General features: G+C 60.3%; 2 protein-coding genes and 1 long non-coding RNA gene across 13 annotated transcripts in view, besides 12 other annotated features; 1 reads left to right on the plus strand and 2 right to left on the minus strand.

Annotated features, from left to right (window-relative positions):
• Positions 118 to 1,089: an enhancer, noted in NCBI's record as "H3K4me1 hESC enhancer chr17:79504525-79505496 (GRCh37/hg19 assembly coordinates)". NCBI's record gives its function as "activates a minimal SCP1, AML or CMV promoter by ChIP-STARR-seq in primed H9 embryonic stem cells {active_cell/tissue: H9 hESC(primed)}" and the evidence as "EXISTENCE:reporter gene assay evidence [ECO:0000049][PMID:30033119]".
• On the minus strand, positions 2,510 to 15,752 carry FAAP100 (FA core complex associated protein 100). Of its 5 annotated transcripts, none has more exons than NR_033338.2 (9): positions 14,785 to 14,972; positions 14,351 to 14,671; positions 12,867 to 13,822; positions 11,825 to 11,981; positions 9,528 to 10,297; positions 8,365 to 8,501; positions 6,623 to 6,739; positions 3,928 to 4,014; positions 2,510 to 3,569 (listed from the first exon to the last, which is right to left on the minus strand). NR_033338.2 is itself a non-coding variant. In XM_006722111.3 (9 exons), exons 1-9 carry the CDS (start codon positions 14,947 to 14,949, stop codon positions 3,438 to 3,440), a joined length of 2,232 nt encoding a protein of 743 aa, XP_006722174.1. In that variant the 5' UTR covers positions 14,950 to 14,972; the 3' UTR covers positions 2,510 to 3,437. The 5 variants fall into 5 exon arrangements, 4 of the variants coding, with proteins under 4 accessions (XP_006722174.1, NP_079437.5, XP_047292804.1 ...); XM_006722111.3 differs by having other exon boundaries at positions 9,942 to 10,297; positions 14,547 to 14,671; NM_025161.6 differs by having other exon boundaries at positions 14,547 to 14,671.
• Positions 3,446 to 3,946: an enhancer, noted in NCBI's record as "H3K4me1 hESC enhancer chr17:79507853-79508353 (GRCh37/hg19 assembly coordinates)". NCBI's record gives its function as "activates a minimal SCP1, AML or CMV promoter by ChIP-STARR-seq in naive H9 embryonic stem cells {active_cell/tissue: H9 hESC(naive)}" and the evidence as "EXISTENCE:reporter gene assay evidence [ECO:0000049][PMID:30033119]".
• Positions 12,437 to 13,232: an enhancer, noted in NCBI's record as "H3K4me1 hESC enhancer chr17:79516844-79517639 (GRCh37/hg19 assembly coordinates)". NCBI's record gives its function as "activates a minimal SCP1, AML or CMV promoter by ChIP-STARR-seq in primed H9 embryonic stem cells {active_cell/tissue: H9 hESC(primed)}" and the evidence as "EXISTENCE:reporter gene assay evidence [ECO:0000049][PMID:30033119]".
• Positions 14,539 to 14,638: a silencer, noted in NCBI's record as "silent region_9135". NCBI's record gives its function as "represses an Ori minimal core promoter by ATAC-STARR-seq in GM12878 lymphoblastoid cells {active_cell/tissue: GM12878}" and the evidence as "EXISTENCE:reporter gene assay evidence [ECO:0000049][PMID:35858748]".
• Positions 14,699 to 14,938: a silencer, noted in NCBI's record as "silent region_9136". NCBI's record gives its function as "represses an Ori minimal core promoter by ATAC-STARR-seq in GM12878 lymphoblastoid cells {active_cell/tissue: GM12878}" and the evidence as "EXISTENCE:reporter gene assay evidence [ECO:0000049][PMID:35858748]".
• Positions 14,978 to 19,938, plus strand: LOC124904085 (uncharacterized). The gene is made up of 2 exons (XR_007065947.1): positions 14,978 to 15,125; positions 15,661 to 19,938. It is a non-coding gene; the product is annotated as an uncharacterized LOC124904085 (long non-coding RNA).
• Positions 15,079 to 15,238: a silencer, noted in NCBI's record as "silent region_9137". NCBI's record gives its function as "represses an Ori minimal core promoter by ATAC-STARR-seq in GM12878 lymphoblastoid cells {active_cell/tissue: GM12878}" and the evidence as "EXISTENCE:reporter gene assay evidence [ECO:0000049][PMID:35858748]".
• Positions 15,379 to 15,498: an enhancer, noted in NCBI's record as "active region_12971". NCBI's record gives its function as "activates an Ori minimal core promoter by ATAC-STARR-seq in GM12878 lymphoblastoid cells {active_cell/tissue: GM12878}" and the evidence as "EXISTENCE:reporter gene assay evidence [ECO:0000049][PMID:35858748]".
• Positions 15,819 to 15,898: a silencer, noted in NCBI's record as "silent region_9138". NCBI's record gives its function as "represses an Ori minimal core promoter by ATAC-STARR-seq in GM12878 lymphoblastoid cells {active_cell/tissue: GM12878}" and the evidence as "EXISTENCE:reporter gene assay evidence [ECO:0000049][PMID:35858748]".
• Positions 15,909 to 15,978: a silencer, noted in NCBI's record as "silent region_9139". NCBI's record gives its function as "represses an Ori minimal core promoter by ATAC-STARR-seq in GM12878 lymphoblastoid cells {active_cell/tissue: GM12878}" and the evidence as "EXISTENCE:reporter gene assay evidence [ECO:0000049][PMID:35858748]".
• Positions 16,028 to 16,603: an enhancer, noted in NCBI's record as "H3K4me1 hESC enhancer chr17:79520435-79521010 (GRCh37/hg19 assembly coordinates)". NCBI's record gives its function as "activates a minimal SCP1, AML or CMV promoter by ChIP-STARR-seq in naive H9 embryonic stem cells {active_cell/tissue: H9 hESC(naive)}" and the evidence as "EXISTENCE:reporter gene assay evidence [ECO:0000049][PMID:30033119]".
• The window catches only part of NPLOC4 (NPL4 homolog, ubiquitin recognition factor), an 80,228-nt gene continuing 77,343 nt past the window's right edge, over positions 19,504 to 22,388 (minus strand). For 4 of the 7 annotated variants that reach the window (NR_130140.2, NM_017921.4, NM_001438810.1 and 1 more), the window contains one exon: positions 19,506 to 22,035. Coding sequence is in view for 5 of the 7 variants with exons in the window: in NM_017921.4 (NP_060391.2) it covers positions 21,878 to 22,035 (158 nt within the window). In the remaining 2 variants the exon portion in view is untranslated. Of the gene's footprint in view, positions 22,036 to 22,388 lie in introns of all 7 variants that reach the window. The other 3 variants (NR_130139.1, XM_011524980.2, XM_047436368.1) reach the window with 1 other exon arrangement.
• Positions 21,330 to 21,831: an enhancer, noted in NCBI's record as "H3K4me1 hESC enhancer chr17:79525737-79526238 (GRCh37/hg19 assembly coordinates)". NCBI's record gives its function as "activates a minimal SCP1, AML or CMV promoter by ChIP-STARR-seq in primed H9 embryonic stem cells {active_cell/tissue: H9 hESC(primed)}" and the evidence as "EXISTENCE:reporter gene assay evidence [ECO:0000049][PMID:30033119]".
• Positions 21,832 to 22,331: an enhancer, noted in NCBI's record as "H3K4me1 hESC enhancer chr17:79526239-79526738 (GRCh37/hg19 assembly coordinates)". NCBI's record gives its function as "activates a minimal SCP1, AML or CMV promoter by ChIP-STARR-seq in naive H9 embryonic stem cells {active_cell/tissue: H9 hESC(naive)}" and the evidence as "EXISTENCE:reporter gene assay evidence [ECO:0000049][PMID:30033119]".

The raw sequence follows: 22,388 nt of genomic DNA on the forward strand, positions 1-22,388 counted from the left end.
CAGATGACCTCACTGGACACCGCCCCTCCCCAACCTAGGTCCTCAACCCTCCCTAGCCCCCGGCAGCCCCTGCGGTGCTCGTCCTTCCTTGTGCACTGCTCAAGGCCAGGCGAGTGGCAGAGGGTGGGGGAGAGCCAGTCCTGGGGAGGTGGGACCAGCACGGCCAGCAAGGGGAGGAACTGGCTGGGATGCCCCTCCACTAAGCCCACCAGCCTTAGGGACAAAGAAGGGCAGGTTTCCATGGTAAGAGGCTGGAACTCCCCGAGCCACGTGGGCAAGGCGGGTCCGAGTTAACCCTTGGAGGACCAGGTGCCACCTGGTCCAAGTTGGCAGGGAACGGCAGTGACCCTGGAGCTCGGGCTGTCCCTGCAGCCTGCAGTGTCCCCTGGTGGCAGCCAAGGTGAGGTGGAGTCTGTGGCTGGGGCGGGACTGGGGGCACCAGGTGGAACCGCAGTGGCTGGCACTCAGCACCTCCAGGCTCCCCGCTCAGCAGAGCCTCGGAGAGGGTCTGTCTCCCTGCACTGCCCTGCCTGACGTGAACTTGGCCTGCCACTGCGGGAACCCCCACTTCCGTCCACATCCACAGCCTGGGGCACGGCGGGAGGCAGAGGCTAGGAAGCGGAGGGTGGGGTGGGAGGTCAAAGAAACCCTTTGGAACGGAATAATGGCTGGGCCTGGAAGCGGGGGGCCCACTGCTGCTGCTGAGGCAGGTGCTACTCCATGCAGAGACAGCTGCCAGCAGCTGCCAGGTGGCGTCTAGCACATGCTCCTAGGAGGAGGGGGAAGAACAGCTGCTCTCACCCCACGTGTGAGCTGGGTTGAGGGTCATGCAAGGCTACGGTGTCAAGCCAGGATCGGAGTTGGAGCAGGTGGAGGAAGCTGGAAAGGTCGAGAGGCCGCCCCTGCCACCGGGGAAGGGCCTCACGTAGTGAGAGCTCAGGTGCTGAGAGCCCAGGAGGTGTGCACTGAAGAGGTGAGGGCAGGGAGGCCCAGGATGGGCGACAGGGCCCGGCCACACCGTGGTCCGCAGGCTCCCCGAGAAGCTGATTGTGGACCTGCCACCTGCCTCTGAGGCCAAGCCCTCCTCAAATGCCGAGTGTTGAGAGCAGGTTCCTTGGAGGTGCATGTGAGTTGGGTACATTTCGCCCAGTCCCTGTACACTCTGGCGGCACAGCGGGGCTGGGGACTGCCCACTGTGGTCCCTCCTTTCCTGCCGCTGTAGATCTCCTTTTTGTTCCACGTGACCTGCTCTCTTGGCCCCTCAGGGTCTGCGTCGCAGCTTTCTTTTCGGGGGGACCACATGGCGTCTTGAACTAGGCGTCCCCACAGCAGGATCTCAGGCTGGCAGGTGGGCATGAACATTTGTAAACACACCAGCACTGATGCCTCCACATGGGTGGCCCTGGAGAATGCCCCAACAGAGGTCAGGACAGCTGGGGACGCCGTCTCAGCCCTGGTGGCCAGCACCGCCTTAGTTCAGGAGGCTGCAGTGCCAAGGACAGCAAGCTATCTAAACCCCCAGTGTGTGCCCGGGGGTGTGGGGACACCAGTGCGGCTCATCCCTGTGTCTGCTCTTTCACAAGCCACAGTGGTGCCCCCACACCCCCTGCACAGCTGAGGCTGACAGGGTTGGATGGTGCCACTGCTCTGCACAGACAGCAGCCCCGTGGAAGGCCCCTCAGGCTCCCAGCCTCCTGAGACCTGCTGGCATCCAGCTGAGGGTGGGGAGATGAGTCCTGCAGGCGACCCAGATCTGTCAGCTCTGGGATCCCTGTGGCCTGTGATGGCGAGTGAGGGGCTGGCACAGCCCTGGACACACACCCCTCCCCCAGGCGTGTGAACACAGACCCTGCACAGTCCTCCGCCCGCTCATCTAGGGCCTTCTTGGGAGTCCCCACGGGCTGGTCTAGCCCCTCACTCTCCGAGCCCTGATGCTCAGAGCAAGACACGGGCACAAGCGCTGTACAAAGGTCAGAGCCAGAAGCTCCTGCCCACGGGTGGCAGAGGACAGCCCTGGAGCACAGCAGGGATGGGACCGTTAAGGGGTGCAGGCCTGCCTCGGTGGGTGGCTCGCTTGGCCCCAGCTCTCCCAGCAAGCACGGGGCCATGGCCCCATTGAAAAGGCTGGGTTTGGAGTGTCACCACCCACTGAAAATGCTGGGTTTGGACTGTCTCCACCCGCTGAAGAGGCCGGGTTTGGAGTGTCATCAGGGCGGCCGTGCTCCCTTAGATGTGGCAACCACTGAGGGAGACAAACCCTGACTAGGAGCACCCCACAGGCCCCTCCCACTCCACAGAGAGGAACGCAGGGGAGAGCCAGGCAGGGGCCCCAGGCCTCCCAGACACCCCCTTGCAGCAGAGCCCTCCTCAGGGGTAACTGGGTCACAGGGACGCGTCTTCCTCAGAGGCCACCCCGGTGGTGAGGGCTCCCAAGCAGCGCCAGGGCTCTGGAAGGAGCCCAGTGAGAGAGGGTGGGAAGGGGTGAGAGAAAACAGCCGAGGCCTGAAGGTTCACGGACAGACAGGGTCGTTTGTCACAGCAGAGAAGCACCTCACGGCTCCTACCCGCACTCATCGCGGACAGTGCCTGCAGCGGGAGCGGCGCGAGCACCCTCCCCAGATGAAAACACCAGCACCAGGAGGTGGGCCGTAGCCCAGGCTGAGGGAGGAGGCTGGGGGCTGGGGCTCAGGGCCCCCCCCCGGGCCACAGCGCCACCCTGAGTGGCCCTGAAAATAGTGCACAGTGCTGGGTACTGCCCCGGCTGGAGGCACCTAGTTGTTGAGCATTCCGGCCACAGGCCACCCGCTGGCCCTTCCTTGGTGTGGCACGAGACCACGGGCACTTGCAGGAGCTCCCTGCATGCTGTTTTGTGCTTTGGTCTCAGGGAGCACCCTCCTACCTCGGGGTCCCAGAGTGGGCAGCCGGGCAGGTGTGAACAGTGTGACAAGGGTACCGTGGGGCACCTGGTAGTGCCACCCAGAGGGGCAGCCGGTGCTCCTGGTGGTGTGGCAGCAACAGTTACAAACTCACCCCAAGTCCAAACCCCAGAAATCCTGTTTCTCTGGCCCTCCGGGTCCAGAATGCCCTGCACTGCCTCCTGGCCTCAGGGGCTGCTGCGGTGGTGGGAAGGCTGCCCAGCAGTGAGGAAGGCGAGTGCAGGGGCTGCGGCCGCGGTCAGAGAAGGAGAGACACCAGCAGAGGACGCGAAGCTGGACCGGCCAGGTTCAGAGCCCGCCTCGGTTGCTCCCAATCAGAATCTGCTTTGTGCTCCACGGCCTCCAAGCACTTTCATGAGCGTTCTGCTCCTACGTGGCCAGGTCCTACCTTCCCTGACGGCTCTGGCCAGGCCAGCTCGGTTTCCCTCTAACCCATGAGGCCTGGGGGGGCTGTGACAGAGGCTGGAAGCGTGGCCAGAGCCCAGGGGCAGGCCCGCCTGGTCACAGCAGGATGAGGCTGGGGTGGCGCAGCTGCCGGTACACCTGTAGCAGCCTCTGGGCGGTGGCACAGGAGCTGGCCTCATCCTCCGTGCAGAGCCGGTCGCGCAGGGTCTGCACCTCCCGCAGCAGTGTCTGCAGGTGAAGCAGACACAGCTCAGGCCCCCCACCTGGCCCTGGGGATGTCACTGGGTACCTCTGGGGGACCCACCACTCGCAGGACCCTACTTGGGAAGTGGCAGGTGGTCCGAGGAAGAACACTCATCCGGAACCTTAAAACATGGGACACGCAGCCTGGCCCGGACACCCAGCCCCTCAAGTAGGATGAGGGGCAGGAAGAGCCATGGCCGCTCGGACTTTGCCCCAGGCCCATGGGAGCGAAGCCCATGCGCTGTGAGGACTCTGCGGACCCCGAGTGACTAGAGGGGGGCCTGGCGATGGGCGCTCCTGGCTACCCAGGGGAAGGGGACTGCCCGGGGAACCGGGTGCTCACCTCGTGGTTGGCGTGGATCTGGCGGAGGTACTGCACACGGAGATCAGGAGCGCTGGAGCCCTGGGTGGCCTGCTCTGTCACCATCGTCTGGGGGACACAGGAGACATGCTGGAGAGGGTGTGCCCCAGCACCTGCCCCCACACCCCTTGGAGCAGGGTGACCCTCTCCCTCGAGCTGCCTGGTGCTGCCTCCCTGCCTGGCACCCCTCCCCACCCCAGCGCTTTGCTGTTTTCCACCTTGCTGTTCATCTCGACTTCCTGCCCTCCAGAGCGGCAGGGCACAGAGCCCCTGGCCTGACAGTTTCTTGGAAGCGAACTCGTTTGGTTCTTTTCTCTCCATCGCTGGGATCTTCCCTGTCCCCAAGAGCCACACTCTGTGCAGATCCAGACCTGCCTACCGCCCCCTTCTCCCATCCTGGGCTTCAGGCCTGAAGGCCGCTCAGGAGAACAGACCAGCCAGGGAGCTGCCTCGGCGTCTTGTGCAGAGACCCTGGCCTGGCCATTCACTCATTCACGCAGCCCAGCCCAGTGTGGGCTGCAGCACTGGCTCCCTGGGCTTGGATCTAAATTCCCAGATGGGACCAGGTGTGGCTCAGACCTGTAATCCCAGCACTTTGGGAGGCCGAGGCAGGCGGATAACTTAAGGTCAGGAGATCGAGACCATCCCGGCTAAAACGGTGAAACCCCGTCTCTACTAAAAATACAAAAAATTAGCCGGGCGTAGTGGCGGGCGCCTGTAGTCCCAGCTACTTGGGAGGCTGAGGCAGGAGAATGGCGTGAACCCAGGAGGCGGAGCTTGCAGTGAGCCGAGATCCCGCCACTGCACTCCAGCCTGGGCGACAGAGTGAGACTCCGTCTCAAAAAAAAAAAAAAAAAAAAAAAAAAAAAAAAAAATATATATATATATATATATATATATATATATATGAAATCAGCCAGGCGTGGTGACAGAGCCTGTAATCCCAGCTATTCGGGAGGCTGAGGGAGAATTGCTTGAACCTGGGAGGCAGAGGGTGCGGTGAGCAGAGATCTCACCGCTGGACTGCAGCCTGGGTGACAGAGCCAGAGCTCTATCTCAAACAAACAAATAAAACTAAATTTCCAGATGAGCCTGGGCAGTGAGGCTCCTGCAGGCTCTTGGAGCAAAGCAACTGTGAAGAGACGACACCCTGAGGGGCAGCACTGGCCTGCCGGGGGCTCCAGAAGTGCTGGTGGCTGCACTGTGTGCTGGGCAGGGTCCTGATCACTCCTGTTCCTGGGGCGGGCACCTAGCTGTTGGGGGACACTAAGGTCTGCAGCCTGAGATGAGATCTGTGTCCAGGAGGCAGCAGCAGTGCATGGGCTCCTGGGCGCTGACTCAGGCCCCCCAGATTCATGCGGAAGCCCTAGTGCCAGCACTCAGAGCCTGGCTGTGTCTGGAAATGGGGTATCTGCAGATGATCAAGATGAGGTCACTGGGGTGGGTCTGACCCCACACGACTGTGTCCTTGTAAGAAAAGGGATATCTGGACACAAACCCAGGGGCTGGAGCTCTGCTCTTGGCAGGGGATGGGACTTTCTTGGGGACCAGATGGTCCAGTGGGCAGAGTTTCCTCTGACAGGCAACACCTCAGCTCTGGAGAACCCCCTGGTGCCCCCAGCACTCAGGACTAGACCCCCAAGCCCAGGCAGCCCCATCGTGGTGCCGTGAGATCACTGGGGTCATGGTGCTGCGTGACATGCTCATCAGGGTCATGGCAGTGTCACAGTGCAGGGCACAGGGTCCTTGCACCAAATGAGATCTCTGGGTCATGGTGCTGCGTGAGTTGATGTGTTCATTGGGGTCGGCCATCTGAGCCACCTGCCAGGGCTGGGCAGAGCCACTGTTCACAGAAAGGCCTGGTCTCCAAGCATTACCACAGTGCCCACGGGAGTCAAGCTGGCGTCAGGCTGCAGGCCCTGGGTCTCAGGGTTGGGCAGGCCTGGGCATGCACGTTGATAACAAGCCCAGGTGGAGCTGAGGCAGGGACCACCCCTAAAAAGAAACTCCGGAACCGGTTTCTAGGGTCGCTGCAGACCCACCATATGGGCCAAAGCTGCGCTACAGTCCTAGCGGGCGGGCGTGACGGATGCCTTCCCGCGGGCACGAGCTTAGACTTTAGCTTGGAACTTGGAGAGCTTCTTCTCAGATCTGGCAGCCGCTGACCCAAGCTGGCTCTGGGCACAGCATGGAAGCAGCTATTCCTGTGCCAGGGAACTCCTGGGGCTGTGAGTGGGGGGAACTGCAAACTCCACTCTCTTGGCAAAGATGTGGAGGCTCCTACCACCTCGTTCTAGGATCCACGCCCAGGCCACGGCCTCTCCAGGCAGCCTCTGCCCAGCCAGAGAAGGGAGGAAACCTTGGGCTGACCTCGCAGGTCACAAATAGAAACCCACTGGCCTTGTAGCCCGGGCAGTCCTTGGACTCACAGGTGCCCAGGGGGTGACGGCACACCTGGGGAGCAGCATTGGCCTCCTGAGAGGGTCCACCCCATGCCTCTCATCGCCCACAGCTCCACTGCACAACACCGCACTCAGCGGCAGAGCAGACTTGGATCTTCCTACAACTCCCTTGCAGGGAGCCGCAGACCCCGTGGCCAGCAGCTACAGGGTCCCATGCAGGGACCTTAGTGAGCGACCCACAGATCCTGGCCACCTTCCCCAGCGGGCCGACATACCTGCATGCGCCCGACAACGGCATGGTGCGCCCTGCAAATGTCGGCCAGAGAGGAGCTTTCCACTTGAATCTCCACGGCCTGGATGGGCCCTGCTGGGCACAGGTCAGTCATGGCCACCTGCAACACAGGAGCCACCTCACTGCCTGCCTGTGGCACTCCCACCTGCCCGGGGGGCTCAGGCTACACAGGAGCCTCCCCAGCTGGCAGCACGTGAGGCCCTGAGATGGTCCCAACCCCCTGCCCTGGGCTGTCCTATACCCTGAAGGAGCAGAGCTCAGTACCCTGGTTTAGCTTTTTCCACCTGAAGAACCAGCCACCAACCAATGGCAAGAACCTGCTCTGTACCCAGGTGTGTCCAGGAAGACACCATCCCTCAGACCTGTGGAATTCACGCAGGGCCTCGAGCCAGACTGGGGCCTGCTCCAGAAGAAGGCCACTACTGTGACACACCTTGTGGACAACCTACATGTAGATCCTGCCACGCCCTTGGGGGGCCCAGATCCGTCCCCCCACACCAGGCATCACAGATCACCTCTGGCAGCAGGGTTAGGGCATCGCTGTGGGCACTGGGAGCTGCTGGGCCTATCTATGGGACACCCACCTGTCCCTTAGGAAGGTTGGACTGAGCTGAGCTGGACAACAAATGGCAAGAACAGGCCAAGAGCCAGGAAGCCGGGCTTATTCTGCACACACAGCACAAGAGGTGAGACGCCAGGGGCCTGGGGAGCCCAGAGAGGACACAGTCACCTGCGGCTCTCCCACAGGGGCCGCCAGCACCGACCTGCCGGGCCACCAACAGACCCCAGCATCAGGGCTGAAAGGGCTGTGTAGAGGGCAGCCAAGGTACCCGAGGGCCGAGGCTTGATTCCAAGTGCAGACTCTGGGCCGGGCACAGTGGCTCACGCCTGTAATCCCAACACTTTGAGAGGGTGAGGTGGGCGGATCACCTGAGGTCAGGAGCTCAAGACCAGCCTGGCCAACATGGTGAAACCCCCGTCTCTACTAAAAACACAAAAATTAGCTGGGTGTGGTGGTGGGTGCCTGTAATCCCAGCTACTCAGGAGGCTGAGGCAGGAGAATCGCTTGAACCCAGGAGGCAGACGTTGCAGTGAGTCAAAATCGCACCACTGGACTCCAGCCTGGAGACAGAGCGAGACCTTGTCTCAAAGAAAACCAAAACCAAGTGCAGACTCTGAGCCCCAGGCAGCCTTGCCCATCCTCAGGGACACACGTGTCCTGGCAGCCTGGGCTACCCTGCAAGCGCCTTTGCTGGTGGGACTTGAGAGTGTGCTGGAGGCACCACAGTCCTGAGTCTCTGGAAAGGTGTGCACGACAGGGGCTGGAGACCAGCAGTGCCATTTGCCATTCAGCGGCTTCCACGACAGGTCTGGAGCCTTCTGGCAGTGCAGAGGGTTAGCGGGGCTGCTGCTCCTGGGGTAGAGGTGTTGGTGGCAGCACTGTGGAACCCGCTATGACTTCAGTCCTGTGCAGGGGAAGGGGACCCCCATGGCAGACAGGGATGGACAGGGCCAGTCCTCGGGGATCTGAGCTGCAAGGCCCTCCCTGCCTGAGTGGGGTCTGCTTGGTGCGAGGGGAAACTGTCATATCAGAGTCCTCCGGGAAGCTTGGGAAAAGGCTGCCAGGCCCCCACCCAGGGTGAGGGGTCCTCCCGAGCTCCGGCCCAGGGGCCCCACCCCAAGAACTGCTGGTGCCGTGGCTCGTTTCCCTGAACCCCTGCTTGCCTCTCGGACGATGAGGTGAACGTTGGCGCCATCAGGGGCCACTCCCTGGATGGAAGATAGTGCTCGGGCCCTCACGACGTCCACAGCAGCATTCTCAGCAAGGAGCCACTGCAGGGTGGCACAGCACAGGGGCACGCCTGGAGGGGAGGCATCAGCCGAGAGCTCAGCCTGATCCTACCAGGTGGGCTCAGCCGATCCTACCAGGTGGGCATCTGCATACCTGCCCCAAAGTGCCCTTCCCAGAGCCATCTAAGCATCCCAGCTGTCCCCAGCCCCACCCTAAGCTGCGGCGTGGCCAGCTGACCCAGAGGAAGGAGGCCACTGCTCAACTTTCTCTGCTGAACAAGTCCTACGTTGGGTGGTGGCAGTTACGATCTGTGGAAGGTGAAAACCTCACTTTGGGGGACCTGCTAATGCTCCTGGGAGCCGATGTTAGGAGCAGGCAGCTCCGCCCGGCACTGGGCAGAAACACCCCAGGGGATGGCTGCGGCTGCCCTCTCTGCACAAGCCCAAATCCAGAAACCATCCAAATACCCATCTGCAGCAGAACGGTGACATCTGCACCTGCGACACAGAGGGTCTCACACACATGGGGGAGCAAAGGACAGACACAAAGAAGGGACTGCACACTCCATTTCGTGGAGCTCACACATGCCTGATGAACGGTGCTGGGGCTTTGGGGTGAGCGCAGCTGCCTCCCTCCCCGGGTGCCCGCACTGTGAAGCTCACAGTTTGCTCCTTTGTGACTCTTCTGTATTTAGGTTACGCTTCCATATATAGGTTTAAAAAACATAACTGAAAAGAAATACATGGTGAGAGGGCTCCACATAAGGCCAGAGCCCAACAGCAGAGAGAACGCAGGCGAAGCTCATTTCCTGAGCAGAGCTCGCTGGGCTGGGGGGCCAGGATGCCCCAGGAGCAGCTGGGAGAGGGAGGAACAGCCCATGTCCACAGGCCCGAGGTGGGTGGGGTGAAGTGGCTCATGCAGGTAATCCCAGCATTTTGGGAGGCCCAGAGGAGATCAATTGAGGCCAGGAGCTCGAGGCTGCAGTGAGCCATGATTGCACCACTGCACTCCAGCCTGGGCAACAGAGCAAGTTCCTGTCTCTTAAAAAAAAAAAAAAAATCCCCAAGGCTGAGCAAAGCCAAGCAGTGCCACCAACCTGAGTGGCCGTCCTTCAAGGCAGCTCTGAGCAGCTCCGCCGACACCTTGATGGAAGCCACAGATGGGGGCAGGTACTCGGCCCGCAGGGAGGCGGGTCCTGCTGGCTGGCTGCCAGGCTCCCGACAAGTTTCCAGAAAAGTGGCCACAGGGTCTCGGGTGGGGCCGAGTGGGGAGGGGGCCCGTGTGTGTGGCGGGGCCAGGCCAGGGAAGCGCAGACACTGCAGCATGTCCACTGTGTGCCTGCTCAGGGGCAGGCAAACACCCTCTTGCTCGGGCAGGACGTCGGAGGGGCACTCATCCAGAAAGGGGTCCTCAGAGTCTGAGGGGGCAAGGGCCCCGCCCACCACCTCCCTGAGACTGTAGAACAGCGTGCAGGACACGGTCACGGGCAGGTCGAGCCCGCCGTTCTCACCAGGGCCCAGGGGTAGCGTCACCTCCCGCCGAGCACCGGGGCCGAGCTGGTCCACGGGGATGGTGTAGGTGATGGCGGAGCAGGCCGAGTCCAGGTCGAGAGCACAGGAGCTGGTGAGCACCTGGATGCACAGGGTCCACCCCTGGTCCAGGCTGAAGCTGCTGCTGTTCTCTAGCACGCAGGTGGCCATGAGCACATCCTGTGTCTGCAGGCGGCTCCAGGTGGTGCTGGTGGTGCAGGAGATGGGTCTGGGGCCCGTGCCGCTTGACAGCAGTGCACAGCTCACGTTCATGGCCTCGTTGAGGCTTGTCAGTGCCTTGTTCCGCTGGTCAACCGCCTTCTTTAGAAAAGACACTCTGCGAAGGACAGACATGACCCCCGGGAGCGGGGGGACACCCACAGCACCAGGTGCCACATCTTGACTCAGGCCTGGTAGGCACCGAGCCTGGCTCCACGACAAGCACACGGTGGGTGTGGAGCCACGCCAGAGAGTGAGCCCCCGCCCCAGGGGCATGTTTCTCCCGGCCCCACCCACACCGAGCCTCTCTGGAAGCTGCCTCCAGCCATCTGACCTGACCTCTCCTCTTGGGCCACAGGAGGAAAGAGGACAGAGGATGAAGCTGGTGCTCCGGGGACCTAGGCTAATCTGCCAGGTATGAGAAGCGCACCACCCACATCTGGGCCACGCAGGGGCCGGGTGGTGCATTACCCCACCCTTGGCTCCCCAGAATGTTCCTAGTGGGCCTCTTTTCTCCCTTGCAGCCTTCACAGTGAAAACCAGGGGGGTCGCAGGCGCTACAGAAACAGCCCTAAACCACAGGGACCCGGAGTGACAGGCCCCTCGCTCTCGGGACCCCAGTGGTTATGTGAGGGGAGCAGGGGAGGCTGCGCGCACTCAGTGTGTTCTCTCTGAACGTCCCGAAGCCAGTGCTGCGGGAGGAAAAGCACACTGGATCCTGTGCTGAGAGCAGGGAGGGTGAGGACTCAGCAGGGGACGTCTCCCGTGCCCCACTAGGGAGAAAGGGTGGGCTGCTGGGGGGCAGTCCCGGCTTATCTTCCAGAGGTAGCCAGGTAGCCTGTCACCAAACAGTGGGACGCATGAGGCTCTCAAGACATCTTAAGAGGACAAGTAACGGCCGGGCACGGTGGCTCACGCCTGTAATCCCAGCACTTTGAGAGGCCAAGGCAGGCAAATCACCTGAATCCAGGAGTTCGAGACCAGCCTAGGCAACATGGTGAAATCCCATCTCTACTAAAAATACAAAAATTACCCGGGCATGGTGGCAGGTGCCTGTAATCCCAACCACTCAGAAGGCTGAGGCGGGAGAATCACTTGAACCCAGGAAGCGAAGGTTGCATTAAACCGTGATCGCACCACAACACTCCAGCCTGGGCGACAGAGTGAAATTCTCTCTCAAAAAAAGAGGCCAAGTAGGGTCGGGCCCGGTGGCTGACGCCTGTAATTCCAGCACTTTGGGAGGCTGAGGCAGACGGATCACGAGGTCAGGAGATCAAGACCATCTTGGCTAACAAGGTGAAACCCCATCTCTACTAAAAAATACCAAAAATTAGCCGGGCGTGGTGGCGGGCGCCTGTAGTCCCAGCTACTCGGGAGGCTGAGGCAGAAGAATGGCGTGAACCCGGGAGGCGGAGCTTGCAGTGAGCCGAGATCACACCACTGCACTCCAGCCTGGGTGACAGCGTGAGACTCCGTCTCAGAAAAAAAAAAAAAAAAAAAAAAAAAAAAAAAAGAGGCCAAGTAATGGCCTGGCCTGGACCGTTGCCACCCGAGGACACTCACACCCAGGACGACCCCACACAGGGACGCTACCTCCCAAGGATGGCAGCGCCAGCCTCTACCCGGTCCGAGCTGAGCTGCTCACCTCTCAGAGATGTTGCCAATTCCAGACAGCAGCTCCTTTATTTTCTGACCTGCACTCTCTGTGGTCATCCTGGCTGGGCCAGGCATCTCAGAGTCCAGGTCCAGGCTGCAGGTCATCAGGCGGCCTTTGGCGGACAGGGCCAGGAGCTTGGTGCCACCTGGTGACAGACACACATGGGGCCTGGTCAGCGGCTGGGAGGGGCAAGCAGCATGACACTCGGTGGTGTTTCCCTGGACTCCAGGAAAGAAGTTGGAAGACGGCCAAGGCCAGTGTCCAGTGAGGAAGAGAAAGTCCCAAGGCAAATGCACTGTCCCGACCCTGGGCTTCTGTCAGTGGCCCCGAGCCACGCCATCTCTGATCCCACCCGTAGCCCTCTCTTCCGCAGTGGAGACAGTCTGGCGTTTCCCTTCAAAGCCCTTCTCTCCTGCTGTGTATGTATTTTCTGTGGCGAGATTTATTAGCATGCTCACAAGGTGAGCACACTTGGGGAAGTGCACTGGTAGGAGGTGTGTGGCTCTATTCCTCTCACCCCAACACTGGGCACACACAGCTAAAACCCTCTCTGGCTTTTTCTGTGGAAAACACAAAACTAGAATTCCACAATGCCATCTGCCTTTGGTCCAGAGCAGACTCACGGGCAAGCCACACCATGACACGAGCAAGCGTTTGCAGCCTTTGGAAGAAAGGCAAGTCCGGAACAGACCTCCCTGGGCTGCTTGCCACATAAGACCTGCCCAGGAGGCGCTTGCGGTGGACCCCCAAGATGCAGTTTCCTCCAAGTCCACAGCCAGCAAGCAGCAAACTCAGATCCTACCAGGCCCAGGGCCACACCCTAGACCCCAGAGGCAGAGCAACAGGTAGGCCCACCACCAGCCCCTGGCTTGACCTTGAGACAAGAGAGTTAACCACTAGGCTGTATCAGCACCCGTCAGCCTTGCAAAAGAACAAGCCCAGGAAAGGAAGGCGGCCTGATAGTAGCAGACAGCCAAAAAGGGTGCTCCACCCTGGGCTCCCATCTTTCATTTTAGACAGCAGCTCATACCTTCATGCGTCCTGGGAGACGCGGACAGCGAGACGACACTGCAGATGTTCAGGCTGGCTGGGCACAGCATGGGGGGCAGGCCTCCCGGGCCTTCTTCGGGCTGCTCAGGGCCCAGCGGGGTGCTTCCCCGAGACAGATCCACCACACAGAGGTCAGAAGGGGTGCTGTGGTACACGCGGCCACCCCCGCCACAGGCAGCGCAGAGCACAGGGCCTGGGAGGCAGTACTCCCGCAGCTCGGGCACCAGCTTCCCGGACTCATCCCAGCTGGCCTTGATGGCCAGCATCCGGCCGTGGTGACCAAAGGCCACCAGGCAGTCACAGTGCACATCCTCGTCAGGCAGAAAATTCTCTGCAGCTTCTGCAGCCTGTGGCTCTGTCTTCAAGGCCCCTATGAAGATGACGGGCTCCTCCAGGTGATGGAGGATCTTGACAAGGGCATTTGGGTCACCAGGGGCTGACCTGGAGGTGACCAGGGCCTTCAGGATCACACAGCAGAGCTGGCCATCAGGGAGACCACAGAGGACCACAGGTGACTGCAGGAGGGTGGCATCAGCTCCAAAGAGGAGCCCGAAGAGGGCGTCCTCCAGCGTGAAGCCCCCGGAGCCCCCGAGGAGGTCGTGCGGGACCCTGGAGCCTGATGGTGACACAGAGCACAGCACTGGAAGGAAGTGGGGGGCTGCAGGCTTTCCTGGGACCCCGGCTGGGGGCGTGTAGGAGGACAGCTCCACCTCACCGATCTGGCCTCCTGGCCGGGGGTCCTCCCCAGGACAGGGCTGCTCAAACAGCTGCATCTTCCATCGGGCAGGGCCCTGCACCAGGGTGACCAGCACACTGTCCAGCAAGGTGAACGCGCACAGCGCAGCATCGGGAAGGATGCAGGCATCGGGGTCCACAGGGATCACGGGGGAAGGCTGGTCACCGTCCTCGCTGTCCCTGTCATCCTGGCTCGTAGACCTTTGAGAACAGGGACGCACTGGTCAGGCCTGGGCAGGGTGGGATTCCCACGTTCTCTTCACAATAACCTGGCATGGAGTAGTCTGGCTCAGGGGTTCCCGCAGTGACCCCCAAGGCCGCTCAGCAGTCCATCTGCCACATGGCCTCCCACCTTCCCCACGAAGGATACTCTTGACAAGAAGTACCAGGCATCCAAAACCAGCGTGAACCGACACCTGTCAGCATAGAACCGTCAGGCTGAGGCCCAGGCTGCAAAGTGCACAGGCTGCCCCCTCTACAGCCTGGGCCGCGGTCAGCAGCTGCTGGCTCTGCACTGAAGACAGGCCTGGCTGCCCGGAGCTCGCTTCCTTCCAACCCAGATGGTGTCCACTGATCACTGACTCGGGGTCACGGTGCCTTTGCTGTCTCCTCCCTCCAATAAAGACCCAACCTCGGGGGCGTGTCTCACCAGACAGCACCGGGCCACCAGGGCCCAAAGGACAGGATCCCGCGCCCCGCCGTGGGCTTAACCATGTGAACCCCACTTACTAAGGACTGTGAGCAAGACACTTGCAGAAAGAGTGCTGGGGGCAGGGGCTCCAGATAATCGGGCAGGGATGGCGGCCGAGGCTTCAGAGCTGGCGGCAGCCCGGGTCCCCAAGCGCGATGAGGTGGGGCTGCTCGCTCTGAAGCAGTCCGGGGGCAGCAGGAGTGTGCGGGAGGGAGGCCGCGGGCCCGCCCTCACCTGCTCCTGCCCGGGTGGTCCAGCGACAGGCAGTAGAGGCCCCTCCGGGCGCACAGCGCGTACAGCAACCTGCGCGGCGCCAGCAGCTCCAGGTGCCACACCTGGTCGGGGAACCGGAACGCCGCCTGCGGACCGGGGCGCGGGTCAGGCCGACGCGACGCGCGGGCCCGCGGTCTTCATTTTCACGCGAACCGCCGCCCCCGCCCGGTCCCTCCCGCCCCCGCGGGCCGGCGCTCACGGTCAGCAGCCCGCCCTCCTGGTCGTACACGTAGACGAGCTCGCTCCCGGTGGACAGGAAGACCTCTGCCTCATGGCACAGCACGCGGGGCTTGCCCGCCGCCAGGCCCCCGAGAGGGCAGCAGAAGCCCGCCAGGTAGCGGACCCGCGGCGCGGCGCCGGCCATCGTGCGCGCGGGCCCGTCAGAGTGAGAAGCCCCGGCCGCGCGGCGGCGGCTCCGCCTCGGAGCGCTTTACGGCAGCCCGCTGTGCGGCGCGACCTCCGCCGTAAAGCGGTCGGCGGTGCCGGGGGCGGGCCGGAAAGGACGCGCTGCAGGGACTCCGGGAGCTGGGGCGGTCGCTGGTACCCACGGGGAGCAGGGGAGCCTTCCTAGGGGCCGCGGCACCGTGCCGCAGGTCGAGGTTGACCCGGCCGGGCTGGTGGGAGCCCTCGGCGGCTTCATGGCCCCGGCTGCTGCACGGGTTCCCCAGGGTGGGGAAGCGGGTCCTGGCCGAGCAGAGGTTGCTCTTGGGCGGGGCGTCTCCCCGGAGCAAGCGCTCAGCTACTCGGGCTTTTGCGTAAACGCCTCGATTCTCTGGGCTCTCGGAGAGCAGCTGGGTCCTGCCGGAGCGCACTCCAGCCGGGGTCGGGGTGGGGCAGCGCCGGCTCTTGTCGTCCTAGGGATGGGTCTCTGCCCTGTGCTCTGCGAGCCGCCCCGGCCGCCCCCGCGTTCAGGGCCCAGCGGAGTGAGCCAGCTTAGGTGGAAGTGCGTCCCTCCCTCCGTGGCTGAACACGTGGGGACAGGGAGTACACCAATGGGGTTTCTGGGTTGGGGGCAGAGGACAAGAAAATGACTGTGAGCCAGGGCAAGATACCTCCACCCTCTCCCTCCTGGCAGCTCTCCACTTCCTCCAGGAGAGAAGTACTGACCAGAGAACGCCCGTGGAGGGGCCTGCAGTACGGACACCTGCTCCATGCCCGGAAGAGAGCGGAAACCAGGCACACCATTCACAAGTAAATGACCAAGGAACCCCGCCCCCGGCCCGCCTCCCTCCGTTTAAGAAGCCAATCTGAAGAGCGCTAAGGCCAGACACCCTCGAGGGAGAATCTAGGGGCAGGGCTGCAAAACTGGGCTTGGAAGTTAGGCAGACATCGTGGAGTCCGGGTGCACCTGCTGGAGCACAAAGCACCACTTGCAGACATCCTGACCGCCCCCCTTTGAGGTTGGGGTGGGGACTGACCCCAAGGCAACGGGGATGTCTGATTCTGAATGTTGGGTTAGACAGACTCAAGTGCGGCACCTGGAGTCAGTTCCTTGCTCCTCTCTTCTCGCCAGGGCTGCTCTGAAGGTGTTTGGGCTGGAAATGCTGTCTTTGATGCTGGGGAGTGGGGAGAGGAGGGCCAGGTGCATCTCATTTGGCCTTCAGAGTCAGGAAGTCAGATGCCGCATCGTTGTGAATTTCCCCACAGGGATCCTCCGCTGGTCTTCTGACCGAATTTCCCCACAGGAATCCGCAGGTCTTCTGACTGCTAGTTTTAACCCTCTGAAGCCTTGTGAGTCACTCGCTCACACACACCAACCCCATCCAGTCCTCCCAGGCCATCTCTTCCATACGGATGGTAACATGCCAAGACTGTCCTAGAGGAAATGATCACGATCACGTGGAGGAGGAAACGGACGTGGGAGAAGGCCCGCCAAACCAGCAGCCTCACCCCGCGGTTTACTCCGCTGCCCACCCCACTCTGCTCCGGGGGCTGGCAGGCTTTTGGCCCCACGCCAAGCCCAGCTCCTATCTGCAACAAGATTTATGATCAGTAGTCATGTGGGGGACCTTAAGCATGGATCCCAGGGGAAAGGGGGTGAGTTAGACACAAGCGAAGGGCTGAAGGCCGGCTCTCCATCAGCTGCTGGGCTGTGCCGTGCCCCACCTGTACTTGGCGAAGAGTGATGAGGGCTGAGGCAGCCTCTCTGTCCGTGGGTGTGGAAGATGCACACACTCCTAGCGGAAGCCTTCGAGACAGCAGCGCAGACCGCTGGACACTGCGTTTCTATGCCCAACTTGGAGGTGTTATCATCTCCCTAAGCACGAAGTATATGAAGGAGTCAATTTAGGTCAGACTGAGGGGAGAAAAACCATGAAGCTTCAGGCTGTGTTGAGGGCGAGGAGGGCTGGGCCTTGAGGGACCTCTCCTCAGAGCAGCACAGCCCAATAAGGAGAACACAGCAGGAAGGTGAGGCAGGGACCCAGGAACCCGACTTCTCCCTTTTTTTTTTTTTGACACACACAGGTTCTCACTGTGTCTCCCAGGCTAGAGTGTAGTGGCACAGTCTCGGCTCACTGCAGCCTCAACACCCCAGGCTCAAGCCAACCTCCTGCCTCAGCCTCCCGAAAAGCTGGACTATAGGTGCACACTACCACGCCAGGCTAATTTTTTGTCTTTTTTAATAGAGACAGGGTTTCGCCATGTTGGCCACGTTGGTCTCGAACCCCGGGCCTGAGTTCTATTTCTAAGCAGTACAATTTGCTTGATTTAATGGGGGAGTGGCATCCAGAACTGTTTTAAATTTTTTAATTTTGGCCAGGCACGGTGGCTCATGCCTGTAATCCCAGCACTTTGGGAGGCCGAGGCGGGCAGGATCACAAGGTCAGGAGATCGAGACCATCCTAGCTAACACAGTGAAACCCCGTCTCTACTAAAAATACAAAAAAATTAGCTGGGCATAGTGGCGGCGCCTGTAGTCCCAGCTACTCGGGAGGCTGAGGCAGGAGGATGGTGTGAACCCGGGAGGCGAGCTTGCAGTGAGCCGAGATCACGCCACTGCACTCCAGCCTGGATGACAGATTAAAAAAAATTTTTTTTTAATTTTTTGAGACAGTCTTTTTTTTTTTTTGAGATGGAGTCTCACTCTGTCGCCCAGGCTGGATGGAGTGCAGTGGTGCCATCTCGGCTCACTGCAAGCTCTGCCTCCCAGGTTCACGCCATTCTCCTGCCTCAGCCTCCCGAGTAGCTGGTATTACAGGCACCTGCCACCATGCACGGTTAATTTTTTTGTATTTTTAGTAGAGACGGGGTTTCATTGTGTTAGCCAGGATGGTCTCCATCTCCTGCCCTCTTGATCCGCCTGCCTCGGCCTTCCAAAGTGCTGGGATTACAGGCATGAGCCACCACGCCTGGCCTATTTTTTGAGACAGAGTCTTACACTGTTCAGGTTGGAGTGCAGTGGCATAAACTCGGCTCACTGCAACCTCTGCCTCCTAGGTTCAAGCAGTTCTCCTACCTTGGCCTCCCAAGTAGCTGGGATTACAGGCGCACACACATCACTACACTGGCTAATTTTTTCTATTTTTTAGTGGAGATTGGGTTTCACCATGTTGACCAGGCTAGTCTTGAATTCCTGACCTCAAGTGATCCACCAGCCTTGGCCTCCCCAAAGTGGTGGGATTGTAGGTGTGAGCTGCCACACCCAGTTTTTTTGTTTTTTTTGTTTGAGACAGTCTTGCTCTGTTGCCCAGGCTGGAGTGTGCAGTGGCACAGTCTCAGCTCACTGCAACCTCTGCCCCCGGGGTTCAAGTGATCCTCCAGCCTGGGCCTCCCAAGTAGCTGAGATTACAAGTGTGCACCACCAGGCCCATCTAGTTTTTGTATTTTTAGTAGAGACAGGGTTTCACCGGGTTGGCCAGAACTTCTGACCTCAGGTGATCCACCTGCCTCGGCCTCCCAGAGTGCTGGGATTACAGGTGTGAGCCACTGCGCCCGGCTTTTATCTTTACATCGAACCAAAGAGGATGCCAAGGATCTTCACTGGCTCTCACATAAGACGGCCATGATCAGGTACTGGCTCACTGCATGGCCCAGGCTGCTGCTTTCTCTGATACAACCTCCCCGAGCCTCCTCACCTCAGCTTTTTAAATTTTTTTTCAGACAGGGTCTCACCCCGTGGCCCAGGCTGGACTTGCGATCACAGCTGGCTGCAGCCTCAACCTCCTGGGCTCAAGCGATCCCAGGAGCTGTGGGTAAATCGAGTGAACTGCACTGTGTTGAAGGTGCAGGATTGGAGTCCGGGTGCTGGGGGACTCACCCTCTCGCTCCTGGAGTCCAGAAGCCAGGACACCTTGGTCACTGTCCTGTGGCCTGCTTCACCCCAGGGCCCTCCTTCAGAAATTAGTTGGAGTTTTTTTTAGTAACTGCTCAAGTCAGCTATGAGTCACTGACCAAAGGACAAAGTGGTGCTGAACAGTGACTGCCAGGCTCCTATCTGAGGCTCAGAGAGCACTTGTTCTAGACGCTTTCTGTTGTCACAGGGAAAGACAGCTCAAGCAGGAACACAGGCAGTGTGTCACCCCCAGGCCTCACTCCTTGCTGCACCTGTGCAGTCTGGCCTTCCTGGGCTTTGTCCTTCACCTGCTGTTTGACCACATGTACCTGTCCACAAAGCAGTGACTGTGGGGCAGTCGCAGGGCTGACAGGTGCGGCAGAGGCAGAAGAGGCACCCAAGGGCGGCGGGGCCGTCAAACACTGACGCACTCTCCTCCTCCCCCAGATGTTAGCACTTTAAGAAACTTATCGAGGAGCCAAGGTTGGGAGGGATCGGCTGGGGAAGTGGGATCCCCACCTTTAAATGGACCATGCACATACACGTAAAACAGTGATATCTTGGAGACAAGTTATCAAATCCCCCCACACTGAGCAGATGCCAGACAACAGTTGAGTGCGCAGGAAGGACACACCAGGACCAGGCAGTTGCTTCAGGCGCTTTTATTAGGTTCCACTGCAGGGCTGGGGTCAATGTAATGCAAATCCAAGCCCAGTGATGCACACCTGTGAGCCGAAACAGAGCCGAAGCAGGAGCACCTGTGTCCCAGGAGCAGCTGGTTGGAGGGAGCCAGGGCCAGGCCCCACCTCCTCTCGGGACCAGGAGACTGGCAGCCGCTGTGTTCACCTGGGCAGGTGTGCACCCAGTCACCCCCACTGGATTATGGTGCTGGTAGCATGAGAGGGTGTGTCCACACCAAGGGCAGGTGAAGATGCGAGGTGGGGCTGAGACCTCCTTCCCACAAGAGGAGGTGGCTGAGCCTCCCAGGGCCTGAACTCTCACAGCAGGGCTCACCCCCAAGCCTGTATGCTTAGCTCTGACTCTCTTTGGACAATAAAATAAAGTGCATTACTGAACAAAGAGTAACTCAAAACCAGAATCAGACAAATCGCCAATGCTTTTCCTTTAGCTAAAAGACAAAAGAAAACATGAATGATGTGAATGCCGGAACTTCAGAGTAAGGGAAATGCTGGTGGAGGACAACGGAAACTATAATAGCGTGGTGGATAAGGACGAGCGAGTGGGAGAGGAACTGGCAACGCGGCTCTCTCTAGAAGTCCGTGCTGTCCAGCCTCTGCCCAGTGGTGGGGGAAGGCCTTGGACTCACAGGGAAGCAATGCAGGAAGCCTTGGCCACCTAGGCTCACAGCTCATCTCAGGACCAGAGGAGACAGCAGAGGACAAAACTTCAGTGTGACAGCTGCTAGGAGGGAGAGCAGACAGCCCGCGGTGGGCAAGCTGGGAGTTGCATCCGCAGCAGTCCGCTTCAACCCAGCTCCTCTCCACCCTTCCTGACCCTCCACAATAGCTCTGCCGTGACCAGACCCAACCCAACTGGCCCCTGGTCCCAAGAGCAGATGAGCTGCTTGGGCCTTCCACTTGGTGTCCCATGCCAGGCGGACCTGGAGGTGTCAGCCATGGCCCTGACCACTTCAGAAGCCAACAGGCAAATGTTCTCTGTTCATAGTGCCAAGAATGTGGGTCACGTGGGCTTACCCCCCAGGATGGACACAGAAGTCCCTAAGCAGTCTGCAGCTGGGCCAGCCTCTCCCGTGGGTGCAGAGCAGCCCAGATGTGGCCATCATTAAGGCAAAGAAGCATCGAGATGCCCACCACTCCCCGGGTAAGAGCCATGCCCCGGCCTGGCCACGCCACAGAGGAACGCAGAGCACACAAGCAGGACCCCACCACGTGCTGTTCCAGATCGCCCAGTCTCCCTCTATTGGTACACTATCAATTGTGCAGTGCCCCAGGGAGGTCCCAAATGGCCCTCACAAGAGGCACAGCCCCTAACGCCCTCAGCCAGGCGGTGCAGTGGGACGAAGCAGCGTATTGGGGAGGGCCAGAGCATCGGCACCGGTGACCCAGCTCTCCCACCCAGGCCATCGCAGGGCAGCCTCAGGGCAGGCGCCACCACTGCTCCTGCTCAGCCCGCAGTATCTGCAGTTGCTGCAGCTGTGTGGCTTGGTAGAAAAGTCTCAGGCACTGAGGTTTACTTCAAGGGAGAACTGACTGGTGCCCCCGTCCACACTCATCACCCTGGACACAACCTCGGGGGCTTCACTAAAGGAGGGAAGGATGTGGAAACTAGTCTCTCTCACTCCCCTTTTGTGCAGTTTTTATCTTAAAAAAAAATAAATAAAAGTCTTCTGGGCAGGAATTACTGATAACTGTTATTATAACCAATGCAGACTTTAAAATCCCACCTGGACATCGGGTGAGAGGAGGAGGGCAGGCAGCAAACCGACCTGCAGACCTGCAGAGGGGAGCCGTGTCCAGGGCCACTGCGTCCCCACCAGACAACAGCTACTAGAAGAGGAAAGTGGCCCTCACAGGCAGGGTGCCTGCCACCAAGCAGTCAGACAAGGGGGTAACCAAGAGCTCCCAGCCAGAAAAACATGGGGGCAGGGAGGCCAAACAAAAAGCACTGAAAATAAAGAGAAGGCTGGGTGGTGGCAGCATCGGCCCCTCCCTGTGCGCCCCAATTCCAGGTGCCACGTAGAGGCGAGAGGTCTTTCCAACACGGCGGGGGACTTGTCAACAGGATTAGGCGTGAGGAGCCGCTCTGCGTTTCCAGTCTGGAGACTGCATTCAGCCTGCAGAATACCAGCCGTGGCGCCCGCTCTCCAGGGAGGAACGTGCTGAGAAGCTTCAGTGGGTCAGGGAGCCCAGGACAGCCAGCCCCTTGTTCCTCCAGGGCTGCCCACTATGGGGCAGTTACAGGGAACACACTCAGCAACGCTTCTGGCTTCAGGAAGGGCTGGGCTGGGCCCGGTCCTAGCCAGCAGAGGGCAGGCGCCCTAGGTCCTGGGGAGGCTGCACATCTCGCAGTGGCCTGTGCCTGGCTGGTTCATGAACGTGCAGTGCTGACAGGCCCACATGGCTGCAGTGGCCGTGTGTGTGGAGCCCCCGACGGCGCCGTACTCATGGAGACCTGGGAGCTGCCCGCCAACTGTGCCTGCAGGGTGGAAGAGAAATGAGCACTCATCATTTCTGGCCCACCAGAGACTGCCAGAGTGTGGGCATGGGGGCAGGGGCAGGCAGCTGAGAGCTCCCCGCCCCCAACATCCCACCCAGTGCTGGTCCTGCCCACACAGCACTCCCACCACAGGCACACTTTGAAGTGCTTAATGCCCTCAGAAAAATGCCTCCTGCACCACAGGGAGTAACAGGGAGCCTGTGCTTGCTGGTTCCTTTTTGTTGCAGAGGGTGCTTCTCCTTGTGAATAACGTAACTCCCCGGGGGATGTGCATTTGGGTTGTTTCCAGCTTTTTTTTTTTTTTTTTTTTTCTGAGGTAGGGTCTTGCTCTG

This window comes from Homo sapiens, chromosome 17, assembly GCF_000001405.40.
Source record: "Homo sapiens chromosome 17, GRCh38.p14 Primary Assembly".
In the NCBI taxonomy this organism is placed as follows: Eukaryota; Metazoa; Chordata; class Mammalia; order Primates; family Hominidae; genus Homo; species Homo sapiens.